Raw genomic sequence first — 13,299 nt, 5'->3', positions numbered from 1 at the left:
TCTGTGCTTTGTAAGACTCCTCTACTGCAGTCCAAGGATGCAGCTTCTATATAGCCCAGATGGTTGGGGGAAGCCACAGTACATTTATGACTACTAGCTATCCAATTTCTGCCTTTTCAAGGAATTAAAATTCAGATAGCCCTTAAAAGGAGTTTCATCATCTATACGGGAGGTTATCTAACAAAAATGCTATTTCTGTTTGAAAGAAACTATGTAAAAATTACAATTAACGATTACAAAGAACAACTTTATAACTTAAATATTATCTAACTTAAATATTACTAAAGAAAGTGGGGCATTTTACCCCTCACAGAGCAAGGTGAGTGGCCAATTTGTGATCTGCAAAAAAAAAGATTTGACGCAGGGATACTGTAGCTATCTTTTTCCATTTACTGATGGGATGGAAAAAGTGGATGTAAAGGCTTGCCTTTGGCAGTAAAGTTGACCCTTGAACAACATGGGGGCAGGGGTGCCCACCCCCCTGCAGTTGAAAGTCCACATACACCTTTTGACTCCTCGAAAACTTAACCACTAATAGCATACTCTTGACCTGAAGCCTTACAGATAACATAAACAGTCAACTAAGACATATTTTGTATGTCATATGTATTATAGATTGTATTCTTAACAATAAATTAAGCTAGAGAGAAGAAAGTGTTAAAAAATTAGGAGGAAGAGAAAACATATTTACTATTCACTAAGTGGAAGTGGATCATCATAAATGTCTTTGTGCTTGTCATCTTCAAGTAGACTTCAAGTATCTTTGAGTAGACTGAGGAGTAGGAGGAAGAGGATTGATTGATCTTACTGTCTCAGGGGTGGCAGAGGTGGAAGAAAATCTGCGTATAACTGACCATGCAATTCAAATTCATGTTGTTCAAGGGTCAGTTGTATATATTTTAAGCCTTTACAATAGAATTGCATGTACTTAGTCTCATGAAACCCCAAGTGCCTTGGCTGTGCTGCTGCTAGACTGTGTGGTTCACAGTACAAAGATAAAGATGCTCCTTCCTCCAGGCAGATTCAGCCCCATGATAGGGGGAATGGTGGGGTAAGTCAAACAAAATCTGTTTTTAGCCCCACTTGCCCTTTCAACTCTTCTTAGTCATCTTGTGGCTTAGTACTACAAACTTCCACAGTCTTCCAACTGATAAGATATAGGAAAATGGGCAAAAAGTGATCAACATGAAAAAAAACTATGTAACATACATCACATGTAACATACATCACGTTACAGGGGGCTGTAAGAGATGGGTTTTCCTTCTCACAATGATTTGGTGCTCACAAGAGCCATTCCATTGAGGACATCCAGCATGGCAAAATGGAATAAAGTTTTAGTAATCTCATTGTGCAGCAGATTGTTAAAGAAAAAAATGGTTCAATGTTACTTGTTAAAGCATGGTAAGGCAGACTTTATTCATTACCATTGAGATAGTATAGGGACCATGGCAATGGGATTTTGCAGTAGTGGGGAGAAAATAGTCTTAACTGCAGAGTATGGGCAAGTGGGAATTTATAGCCGAGGAGCAAGGTGGGTCAAGGAGTCAGTGGATGAAAAAATACTAAGAGGAAGCATCAAGGGTAAGGAGGATTCTAATCTAACAGAACCTAATAGAATTCTCGCTGAAGACAAGCCAGACACTACCAGGGAGGGAGATAGTGACTTTTGAGGTGGGGATTCTTGCTAAACTGACTTAGCAGAGCTCTTTACTAAAACTGGATTTTACCAAAAAGTCTGCAGGTGGGCATAAGAGAAAGCCCAGAAGCCTAACTAAATTTTGGCCAAGGAAAGAATCTGTCAAGGTGAATGCAGAGTTTGAACCGGAAATTAGGGCTACAGAAGCAAGTATTCCTGTGTGAGCCTCCCACCACTGCACACTGCACACTGCACACTGCACCCTGCAGGGAAAGCATCAAAATGAGCACTGAAGTCAGATGGCTGCTGAAATCTGTCCCTATCGCCCCATTCAAGAGCCTTAGATGTTCTCTGTGCGTCCTGGCTACACTGCAGCAGCAGCAGCATAGTTCTGAAAGCCTCTAAACATAATCCAGTTAGCCACACAGTATCTGTGTAGCTCTAGTAATTTTCAAAGTCTGCTCTCAAACCTCCAGCAGGTCTCCACCAGTAAAGTTCTACTACTGGTCCCAGTAGAGCGGTCACGGATCATTCAATCAGCTCAGTCACCTCTCAGATCTTCCTAAGGCTACAGAGGAGAAATCAATGTGCTTCACAATGTGTAGATAACAAACTTGTCCACTGTAAGATCCTGAAAATTTTATTCAAAGAGATAAATAGGAAAAGAAATTTCTATTCTGTCATGTCTGGTCAAGACTTGTCCAGATTCTTCTTTCTGTGTGTCTAAAATGTCCTAGAGCTCAAAATTCTTCTAGATCTCTGCTATTTTAGGATAAATAACTTCTAGTGAATTTCTGTAAACTAGATGGTGCGCTTATTTTAAATTGCATGAAAAAAGTATTCAGTGTGTGGGCATTTTTTTTAAAGGGAGAATGCGTGTGGAAAGGTACACTAATGCCTAGAAATTCAGAACACATCCAGTCAGCTCAGTGGCACAGCAAATTGTGCCACTCTCTATGCCAGCTTTTTTATTATCATTGCTATTCCACCCTCTTTGCGTTTTAAAAATCTTCAGAGGAAGACCTATTTTTAATGATTTGCTTTTCTTCCCTAAGCTTTCCACAGATTAAACTCTGCATCCTGTTTGCTTTGCTGTGTTCAAGCTTCTCCAGGATTTTTACAATAACTTCTAAGGAAAAATACCTCAGAGATGCATTTTCTTAGAAGGGTGGTCAGACGTTTTGAATATTCTGCATTTTATTTTCTTTAACAGGAAATACATCCAAGCCTGTATTTTAAATATTAAAATAACCACTCGTTTAACTTTGTGACTAGCTTTCATTTTCCCAAAGTAGGAAAAAAATATTATTTATATAACCTCCCTCTTTGTGTTTCTGAAATACTTCAGAAACTCTTGTGTCTTATCTCCCAACATTGTTCAACATAAAGAGAAATAACCTTAGTTACAGTTGAAATCATTAGAGATTCTTAAGTTTCTGGTAATTTTAATTAGGTTCGCTATCATCTATTACTGTCGTATAGATATTTTACATGATTGCTTAAAAAGAAATGACAAAAGCAAATATAAAAACCTGAATGTAAATTATTTTACCCATAATTGGTCTAAAGAAACATCCTGGATCAGCCCAGTATTTGATTACATTGATATGCACAGGAGACAGGGAAATACAGGTTCGCTGGTAAAGGCCCCACCTTCAAGCCTGAAAATCTATAGCCCTAAGTGAGAAGAGGCATTCCTGTTTTTTGCACCTAAAAAGTTCCCTTTTGGCCTGCCATGCCCCTTATTGTGTACCATATAAACCCCAAATTCCAGGCTCCAGAGAGAGACAGGCAGATGAACGGCAGAACAGCATGGCAGAGAAGGAGAGAAGAGGAGCATCTGAACGTCGAGAGGCTGGGGACGACTGGAGAGGAGATCGGCTGCTGGACAGCCAAACTCCAGGAGAATATCATCTTCCCACTCCATCCCCCTTCCAGCTCCCCATCCATCCCACTGAGAGCCACCTCCACCACTCCATAAAACTCCCACATTCATCCTTCAAGTCCATGTGTAACCTGATTCTTCCTGGATGCCAGACAAGGACCTGGGTACCAAGAAGAAACTGAGCTGGTTAACGCTTAAGCTGCAGACAGCAAAGCTGAAAGAGTGCACTGTAACACATGCCCACTTGGGCTTTCAGGAGTTGCAGGCACCCACCTCTAGACAGTACCACGGGGCCAGAGCCCAAAGAGCTCGCCCAGCTCCTGCACCTTCCTGCCTGTGTGCTCCCCCTCCTATGAGGGGTTTGAGCTCATGGTGGCGCAGCAGAGAGCCACCCCACTGTCACACATCCTGCGAGGGGGGCCAGAGAACTCTCCCATCTCAACATGTACACAAGCTTTTTATTTCTCTGGGGCATTTTTGTAATAGGAAGAATTGAGACCCTCCCAGGTGCCACTTCCTACATGTCAGTCCCTTTGTGTTTTATTTTTCTCCAATACTGGCAGACTAAACAGAATTCTGCCTTACACTAAAGCTCAAACACATTCTCATCCCATCAAGAACGCACTGAGTACTTACTATGAGTAGAGAAGGTAATTTCCATTTTCAATTATTCCTGTAAAAAAAAATTACCACTTATAAGAAAGTTTACTCTTGTGTTGTATAGTAACTCAACACACTTCCCTTTCCACTTCATTTCTCCTGGATCTCCTATAAAAAGCTGAGTGATGAACAGAAAAGACCCTGGGTCTATTTGTGTTCTGTGTGTGCCCCTTTTACTGTGACTTGTGCATTTCCTTTGTTAGTCAGGGGACTTTGTCAGATTTAATTTATGAAGGTTCGGAGATTAACTAACGGGAAACAGAACAACAGGTAACTGAGAGTTTTGGACTCAAGCCTTCTCAGAAAAAGAGAAATGTATTAAAGCAAGCAAGCAAGCAAACAGACAAACAAAATTGGATGGAAGGGAGAGGAAAGAGATGAAGAATGATAGAGAAACACATATGGAATTGCATGAATTAAAATTTAGAGCAGCAGAAAGAGTGCTGGGGAAAAAAAATGGTAGAGCCCAAGGAAGAAGACCAGGCAATCAGGGAGTCAAGGGGTTGCCTGCAATTCACACAATACTTGTGAACTTTTAAACAAGTGACTGTGGGAGATTGCTGGTGACTCATGGTGGTAGAGACAATCAAGAAACAGGGTTGGCAAGAGTGCAAGGAGAGGCCCTTGATGACAGCCCCAGTGACCTTGCTGCACCCTACATTTGACCTCAGTTGGAGTTTGGGACTGTGGAACAACACTGCTGAACTTTATATGTAGAATAACCCACACCCCAGTTTGCTTGAGATAGTGCTGAAGTATGCATCTGATATAACATTCTAGCATTCTTAAAAGTGTATTGATTATGGCCAGGCATGGTGGCTCTTGCCTGAGATCCCAGCATTTTGGGGGACCTTGGAGGGAGGATCTCTCTAGCCAAGGAGTTCAAGACCAGCTTGGGCAACATAGGGTGACCCTGTCTCTACAAAGAATTAAAAAGTTAGCTGGACATGGTGGCACACACCTGTGGGCTCAGCTATGTGGGAGGCTGAGGTGGGAGGATTGCTTGAGCCTGGAAGTTCAAACCTGCAGTGAACCGTGGTCATGCCACTCCACTCCAGCCAGGGTGAGACAGCGAGAACCTGTCGCAAAAAAATGATAATAGGTGTGTTGATTATGGTCAGCTTGTGTATACCAATTCTGTAACACTATTCTTATTCTTATAACTTTGTTGAGTGAGTCATGATTTTAAAACAATCACTTGATAAATAAATATTAACTTCAAATCATGTGTCAAGCACTGGGTGTGAAAATAGAATCTAAAGTTAAAATGATACATTCTGTGCTTTTGTAGAGCTTCCATTCTAGGGTGGAAATACACAAGTGAACCTCTGGTGAGAATGTTTTACATACTGTGCAGGTTTCTGATAGGGTCATCCTTTTGAGCTATAGAGTAAGACTATATCCCTGTAATAGGGTGTATATGGAAGAAAGTTGAAGAGGAAGAGTATGAGTGGATATTTCTCAGTATAAACCATCTCCTGGTGACTTAGTAAATTTTCAAATGGAAGTAAAACTTTGAAAGTTGATCAAAGAGCTAGGAAAACTTGCTTCTTTTTTGACTCTGAACTTCAAGAATTGAGACAGTTCCTGACAGTGAGAGAACAGATGGTCTCTGCCAACTGTAGGCAGGCAATGGGGGACTAAAGGCTAAAGATGAGCAACATAAATCTCGTAAGAAAAATATTAGGAGAACACTCTTCCCCCTTTTCAAGAAGAGCCTCCCCTCCATTGCCAACCCCAAAGGCCAGCAATTTTGTTCTATTAGGGGAAATGACTAGTTTCCTTAATAACATATATATGAAAAACAACTAATATGAAAAAGACTAGAATAATGACAAGTCAACTGGGACAGTGCTAAAATAGAGGAGAAATTCCTTTGGGCCAGTGAGGGAAGACTTCTCAGAAGAGATAACACTTGATCTCAGACTCACATGTAAGCAGATTTTAATCAGACTAATAGGGGAGTGAGACTGGAAGCGTGGTGAGCTGAGTGCTTAAGAGGCAGAAAGACTAGTCTGTGAAAAAGCACTAAACTTTGAGAGCGTGTTAATTCATTAATTCATGAATTAATGAATTGCACCTAGGAGTTCAATATGTATTGAGCACCTACTATGTGCCAAGAATATTCCAAGGTCCTGGGTTCTAGGAGGAAAGTCTGCATTTCCAATAGGTCCCACGTGATCCTGATGCTTCTAGATAATGGATAGCAATCTAAGTAGCAAAGCTACAAATCACTGAACTGTATGACCTCAGTCAGATATGAAGCTGGCTCAGTGACTGATGAAAGACCTTCCAATTCTTTATTTTTCCTGTGTCAATGAAAAAAGCCAAACTCTATACAATATTTAAAGAAGTTTACTGTGAGCCAAATATGAGTGACCAAGGTCTGCAACACAGTCTCATGAGTTCCTGAAAACATGTGCCCAAGGTGGTTGGGTTACAGCTTGATGTTATACATTTTAGGGGAATGGAAGTTACAGGCAGATATCCATCAACACATATAAGGTGTACATTGGTTCAGTCCAGAAAGGCGGGATAACTTGAAGGAGTGGGGCTTTTAAGTCATAGGTGGATTCAAAGACTTTCTGATTGGCAATTGGTTGAAAGAGTTGTTATTATCTAAAGACCTGGAATCAGTAGAAACTAATAGGATAAGATAAGGAGTTGTGGAGACCAAGGGTCTTATTATGTTGATGAAGCCTCTAGATAGTAGCTTCAGAGAGAATAGACGGTAAATGTCTTGTGCTGGGCACGGTGGCTCACGCCTGTAATGCCAGCACTTTGGGAGGCCGAGGTGGGCGGATCACGAGGTCAGGAGTTCAATACTAGCCTGGCCAACATGGTGAAACCCTGTCTCTACAAAAAATACAAAAATTAGCTGGGCATAGTGGCATGGATCTGTAATCCCAGCTACTCGGGAAGCTGAGGCAGGAGAATCGCTTGAACCCGGGAGGCGAAGGTTGCAGTGAGCTGAGATCACGCCACTGCACTCCAGCCTGGGCAACAGAGCAAGACTCCGCCTCAAAAAAAAAAAAAAAAAAACATGCTAGCCTCTTAGTTAAATCTCTCCTGGATCAGTAAAAACTTGGAAAGAGAAGGAAATTCTGTACAGCATGTCAATTTTCCCCACAAGAGACAGCTTTGCAGGGCCATTTGAAAATATATCAAAGAAATATTTTTTGGGATAAAATAACTTGATTTCTTCCAGGGCCTGGCTCTCTGCTACAAAGAGTCTGGCTTGTCAGTCTTAAGATCTGTGTTTTAGTGTCAATGCTGACATTCAGTTGTGCCTGAATTCCAAAGGGAGGAGAGAATAATGAGTCATGTTGGGCTTCCCCCACCTACCCCCAATCCTGGCCAAAACTAGTTTTTCAGGTTTACTTTGGTATTCCTTTGGCTGAGAGAAGGAGTCCATTCAGTTGGTTGAGGGGCTTAGAATTTTATTTTTGTTGTATACCTGTTTAAATTTGCCATCAAATATTATCAAAATTTCATCTTACCTATCTAAATTACATGTTCTATAGACACTTGTGAAAACTGGCATTCTTGTAAAACAGTCTATCACAGTTTAGCACTTTAGTTTTATATTTCATTGGGAAATTTTTTTTTTTTTTTTAAGTTTAGTCTTTGAAAAACCTGTGGGCTGGGCGCAGTGGCTCATGCCTGTAATCCCAGCACTTTGGGAGGCTGAGAAGGATGATTCATGAGGTCAGGAGTTCAAGACAAGGCTGGCCAAGATGGTGAAACCCCATCTCTACTAAAAAGACAAAAATTAGCCGGAGACAGTGGCAGGTGCCTGTAATCCCAGCCACTTGGGAGGCTGAGGCAGGAGAATTGCTTGAACCCAGGTGGCAGAGGTTACAGTGAGCCAAGATCGCACCACTGCGCGCCAGCCTGGGTAAAAGAGTGAGACTCCATCTCAAAAAAGAAAAGAAAAACCTGCATACACTCATGGTTGAAGGAAAATACTGCTCTTCCTACCTGTTAAGCCCACCTCTGAGCATAAATCCTTGGATTTCACTTATCACACATAATGATCCATCTGTGAAGTGTTTGTTTCTTGTAAGCAAGTGACTGTGATGCAAGGCTGGTTCAACATACACAAATCAATAAACGTAATCTATCACATAAACAGAACACTTGGACACAGGAAGGGGAACATCACACACCAGGGCCTGTCGGGGGGTGGGGGACTGGGGGAGGGATAGCATTAGGAGAAATACCTAATGTAAATGACGAGTTGATGGGTGCAGCAAACCAACATGGCACATTTATACCTGTGTAACAAATCTGCACGTTGTGCACATGTACCCTAGAACTTAAAGTGTAAATATAATAAAAAACCATAGTTCTCTAATAAAGAAAGAACAAAACATTGAACTAAAGCGCAGAAATAGCCCTCAAATAGCCATCCAATTCTCAAATCTTGCTCCAAAGTTAGTGAAAGGATAAGAGTTGTGAAAAGCTGATCAGTGGAAACTTGAGTTTATTTTTTTGATTATGTTTTATGTGGAGCTCTCTTGACCTGGCTGTATTTCCAGGAGACTATGGGGTTAAACCACAGTGGTCACAGTGAACCTCATGTCAGCCCAACAGAAACAAACATATGATGCAGGGGTTGTATCCCTGACCCCCGATTAGTCAGTTTTGCCTGGAGTGGACCATCCAAGCATGCTTTTTTACTACCATTTTTCAGAAGACATTTCCCACATTCTAAACAAAGGAAGTCTGGCCTTTTCTCCGTGACGTTCCCTTATTGTTATTTTATGCTGAATCACAGTGCAATGCCTTACTGTGCACCCATGCTCCTTGCTGGGTATTGGCAGTGCTCCCAGTGGGTACCACTGGTCCTGGCATCTCTTACCAAGCACCACCACTTCCCACAGGGCACAGCTTCTAGACGCCAAGGTTGTTCTGATGTAAAGTGCAGACAGAAAGTTCTCCTGCTTTCTTTTTTAGATCACATTCTTTTAGTACAAAAGCTTTTTCAGATGTTTTTAATTTTTTTTTCCTGCAAAGCACCCATCTTCATCCCCCCTGGATTCTGTCGTGTGTTCATTGCAGATCTGGGCCAGGATAAAAAACTGGGAGGAAGACAGTGACTCTAATTACAGAAATACCTCCCTTCCATCACCAAAGAACTTATTACAGAGTCAAGATCTTTCAAGAGAATGGATTAGTTCTGTACCAGGTAGAATTGCCAGATAAGATACAAATATTTCAGTAGACATACTAAAAAAGTATTTGTTGTTTATCTGAAATTCAAATCTACCTGTGTATCCTTGATTTATGTTTACTAATTCTGAAAAACCTACTCGTAGACGTCTCAGTCTCTTACAGAAATTATTTTTGGTGAGTTCAGCTAAGAGTCAAGCCAAAAGTTCAACTGTATTTGGTTATACCAGTGCAAATGTTTGTCCAATTTCCTGCACAGTAGATGAACTGATATAAAAGGGGCTGCCAAGGAATACAAAGATTACACAGAACAGTCAGACTGGAAATGGAATATGCCCCATGTTGGGAAGAAAATTATTTTTATCCTAGTAAAGGAACTGACCACTTAATGTCTTAAGTGATCATTACTTGTCATTATTCATTGAATAGCAAAATGCAACATACCTTCAAATCCCCAAAGGAGCCTGAGACTGGAAGAGCATATAAAAGAGGTAAAAAGAAAGCCAGGCCAGTATACTGGAAACAGATAGAGGAACAGAAGGAAAGACAGACAGTGTCAAATGCCGTAGGTTGGCCGAGTAAGATGAATGCCACTGGATTTGACAATGTGCAGGCCAACAGTCATATTAACAAAGGGCAGTTTTATGGCCAGGCATGGTGGCTCACTCCTGTAATCCCAGCACTTTGAGGGCCTGAGGCGAGCGGATCACTTGAGGTCAGGAGTTTGAGACCAGCCTGGACAACATGGTGAAACCCCGTCTTTACTAAAAACACAAAATAGCCCGGCGCAGTAGCTCAAGTCTGTAATCCCAGCACTTTGGGAGGTCCAGGTGCGCAGATCATTTGAGGTCAGGAGTTCAAGACCAGCCTGACCAACATGGTGAAACCTGGTCTCTACTGAAAATACAAAAAAATTAGCCTGGCATGGTGGTGCATGCCTGTAGTCCCAGCTACTCGGGAGGCTGAGGCAGGAGAATCGCTTGAACCCAGGAGGTGGAGGTTGCAGTGAGCTGAGATCATGCCACTGCAGTCTAGCCTGGGCAACAGAGTGAGACTCTGTCCAAAAAAAAAAAAAAACACACACACACACAAACAAAAACAAAGCAATTAGCCAGGTGTGGTGGTGCATGTGTATAATCCCAGCTATTCAGGAGGCTAAGGCAGGGGGATCACTTGAACCCGTGAGGCGGAGGTTGGAGTGAGCCGAGATCATGCCACTGCACTCCAGCCTAGGTGACAGAGTGAGACTCCATCTAAAAAAAAAGGGAGTTTTTGGTTGTGCAATTAGAGTGAAAATGATAAATGATATAAATGATTATGTTCAAAACAACTGAGGGAGGGGACCTGGGGACAGAAATCATATGTAACTAGTTAGAGTAGTTTATCAGCAAAAAGAAGTGGAGAACTGAGGTGACAACTGGAAGGAGCAGTGGGATCTGGAGAACGATCTCTTAAGCTGGGGAACAACATAAAACACAGCCTGTGTGTGTGGTGATGGACTGATCCTGCAGAAAAAGAAGATTTATTTTTAGTTGTTTTATATATATATATATATTTTTTTATTATACTTTAAGTTTTAGGGTACATGTGCACAACGTGCAGGTTTGTTACATATGTATACATGTGCTATGTTGGTGTGCTGCACCCATTAACTCATCATTTAACATTAGGTATATCTCCTAATGCTATCCCTCCCCACTCCCCTCATCCCACAACAGGCCCCAGTGGGTGATGTTCCCCTTCCTGTGTCCAAGTGTTCTCATTGTTCAATTCCCACCTATGAGTGAGAACATGCAGTGTTTGGTTTTTTGTCCTTGTGATAGTTTGCTGAGAGTGATGGTTTCCAGCTTCCTCCATGTCCCTACAAAGGACATGAACTCATCATTTTTTATGGCTGCATAGTATTCCATGGTGTATATGTGCCACATTTTCTTAATCCAGTCTATCATTGTTGGACGTTTGGGTTGGTTCCAAGTCTTTGCTATTGTGAGTAGTGCCACAATAAACATACGTGTGCATGTGTCTTTATAGCAGCATTGTTTATAATCCTTTGGGTATATACCCAGTAATGGGATGGCTGGGTCAAATGGTATTTCTAATTCTAGATCCCTGAGGAATCGCCACACTGTCTTCCACAATGGTTGAACTAGTTTACAGTCCCACCAACAGTGTAAAAGTGTTCCTATTTCTCCACATCCTCTCCAGCACCTGTTGTTTCCTGACTTTTTAATGATTGCCATTCTAACTGGTGTGAGATGATATCTCATTGTGGTTTTGATTTGCATTTCTCTGATGGCCAGTGATGATGAGCATTGAAAAAGAAGACTTTTTTTTCCCTTTAGGAGCTACTCTGTTAATTGAAGAAAAGGAAAACTTGATGGAAGAAAATGAGAGAGAATGAGAGAATTGCTAGAGCAATGGCCTTGAGTTGGTAAGAGCTGATAATATTCAAAACTGAAGTGGAAGGGTTAGCCTTAGATAGAAGCACAGATAGGCAGTACATCCATGGTAATGAGAGGAAATGCAAAGTATATGGTACAGGGCTAGATAAGGCAGTAGGAGTTTGTGGAAACTCTCTTTTGATGGCTTCTATTTTCTCAGAGAAATAGGAAACAAGATCATCAGTTAAAAATGAGGGAGGGGGGAAGAGATAATAGTAGTATGAAGAGAGAGGGAAGGGTATGGAGCAGTCACATGAATGGAATTGAGGAAATGTAGTATGACTGACAGGCATACTGTCGCATAAGGGCCCGCTTGAAGTTAGCAATTCTAAATTTAAACGGAGACCTGTTTAAATCTAAAGGGAGCAAGGCTTTGTAGATTTTCTCCAACTATGATCTAGTAAATTGGTGAAGACCCAGAGTAGGCAGATAGTGGGATTTAAACAGGGTTGGGATCTAACGAAGAGAGATTAATGACACAAAGTTCAGCAACTCCTCTGTAGCATCAAAGTGGGAGTACTTGTACCTGGAATATGTCTTTTCCCTAGTGCAAGGGAACAACGCTGGGGCCTTGAGCTGCCAACAGACACTTGACGGTAACACTTGGTAGGATCCTTGACTGTGTGTTGCCTGAGGTGGAGGATTAGCATAAACACACACATTTGGCACCTCCAACAGCAATAAAAATGTGATCCAGTCAAGACAGCCTTCATAAGAAATGCTTCTACTCAAATTTCCACTCATTAGTGCTTCCTATCTTTTGCAGTTTGCTAACTTGGATCAGGATGAAAAAATTGGTTGGCTCCTGCTGGGGGAATTTTTTAATGTCACCATTCAATGTTTTGTGGTTTCCTGTATTAGAAAATGGCTGTTTACTCAATTTTGATTGTTGATGAGAATAGACATAATATCTGTTTTTGGTGGCTCTGAATATTTTCACACATTGATTAACCCATCAACCGCATTTACTAAACTCCTACTCCATGCAAAGCCCTAGCTGATAAAATAGTGTAAAGAACACTGTTCCTCATGTTAATGGCCTTAAAAGCTTACTGGGGCCAGATATTGTGGCTCATGCCTGTAATCCCAGCATTTTGGGAGGCCACAGTGGGAGGATCAATTGAGATCAGCAGACCAGCCTGGGTAACATAGTGAGATTCCATCTCACAAAAAATAAAAAATGAAAAGTAGTGGGGTATGGTGGCACATGCCTGTAGTCACAGCTACTCACTAGGCTGAGGTGGGAGGACTGTTGAGCTGGGAGGTAGAAGCTGCAGTGAGTTGTGATCACACCACTTCCCCCCATTCTAGGCGACAGAGTAAGACCTTGTCTCAAAAAAAGAAAATTTTTATTGAGTAGGTAATAAACAGTAAAAACCTTTTTACCTAAATGGCCAATGAGAGAAAAATATTTCTAGCAGTTCAGAGAAAAAGCTAGGGTTTGAGTGGTTAGGACAGGCTTTATAGAGGTAGGCCTGGAGATATAGAAAATGCTAAATTGG

The 13,299-nt window shown here is 41.5% G+C and overlaps 1 protein-coding gene across 1 annotated transcript in view, besides 1 other annotated feature; it reads right to left on the bottom strand.

Moving 5' to 3' along the window:
- Positions 1–5,234, bottom strand: part of FIRRM (FIGNL1 interacting regulator of recombination and mitosis) — a 70,244-nt gene extending 65,010 nt beyond the window's left edge. Inside the window, exons 1-2 of the mRNA XM_047424760.1 lie at positions 5,143–5,234; positions 4,158–4,194 (exon numbers count right to left, since the gene is read on the bottom strand). The gene's annotated coding sequence lies outside the window, so the exon portion shown is untranslated. The remainder of the gene's footprint in view (positions 1–4,157; positions 4,195–5,142) is intronic.
- Positions 6,564–7,065: an enhancer, noted in NCBI's record as "H3K27ac hESC enhancer chr1:169751147-169751648 (GRCh37/hg19 assembly coordinates)". NCBI's record gives its function as "activates a minimal SCP1, AML or CMV promoter by ChIP-STARR-seq in primed H9 embryonic stem cells {active_cell/tissue: H9 hESC(primed)}" and the evidence as "EXISTENCE:reporter gene assay evidence [ECO:0000049][PMID:30033119]".

The sequence above is a fragment of the Homo sapiens genome, chromosome 1 (assembly GCF_000001405.40).
Source record: "Homo sapiens chromosome 1, GRCh38.p14 Primary Assembly".
Classification (NCBI taxonomy): Eukaryota; Metazoa; Chordata; class Mammalia; order Primates; family Hominidae; genus Homo; species Homo sapiens.
The sequence above is the reverse complement of the archived record's forward strand: the minus strand, read 5'-3'. Positions and strand labels throughout refer to the sequence as shown.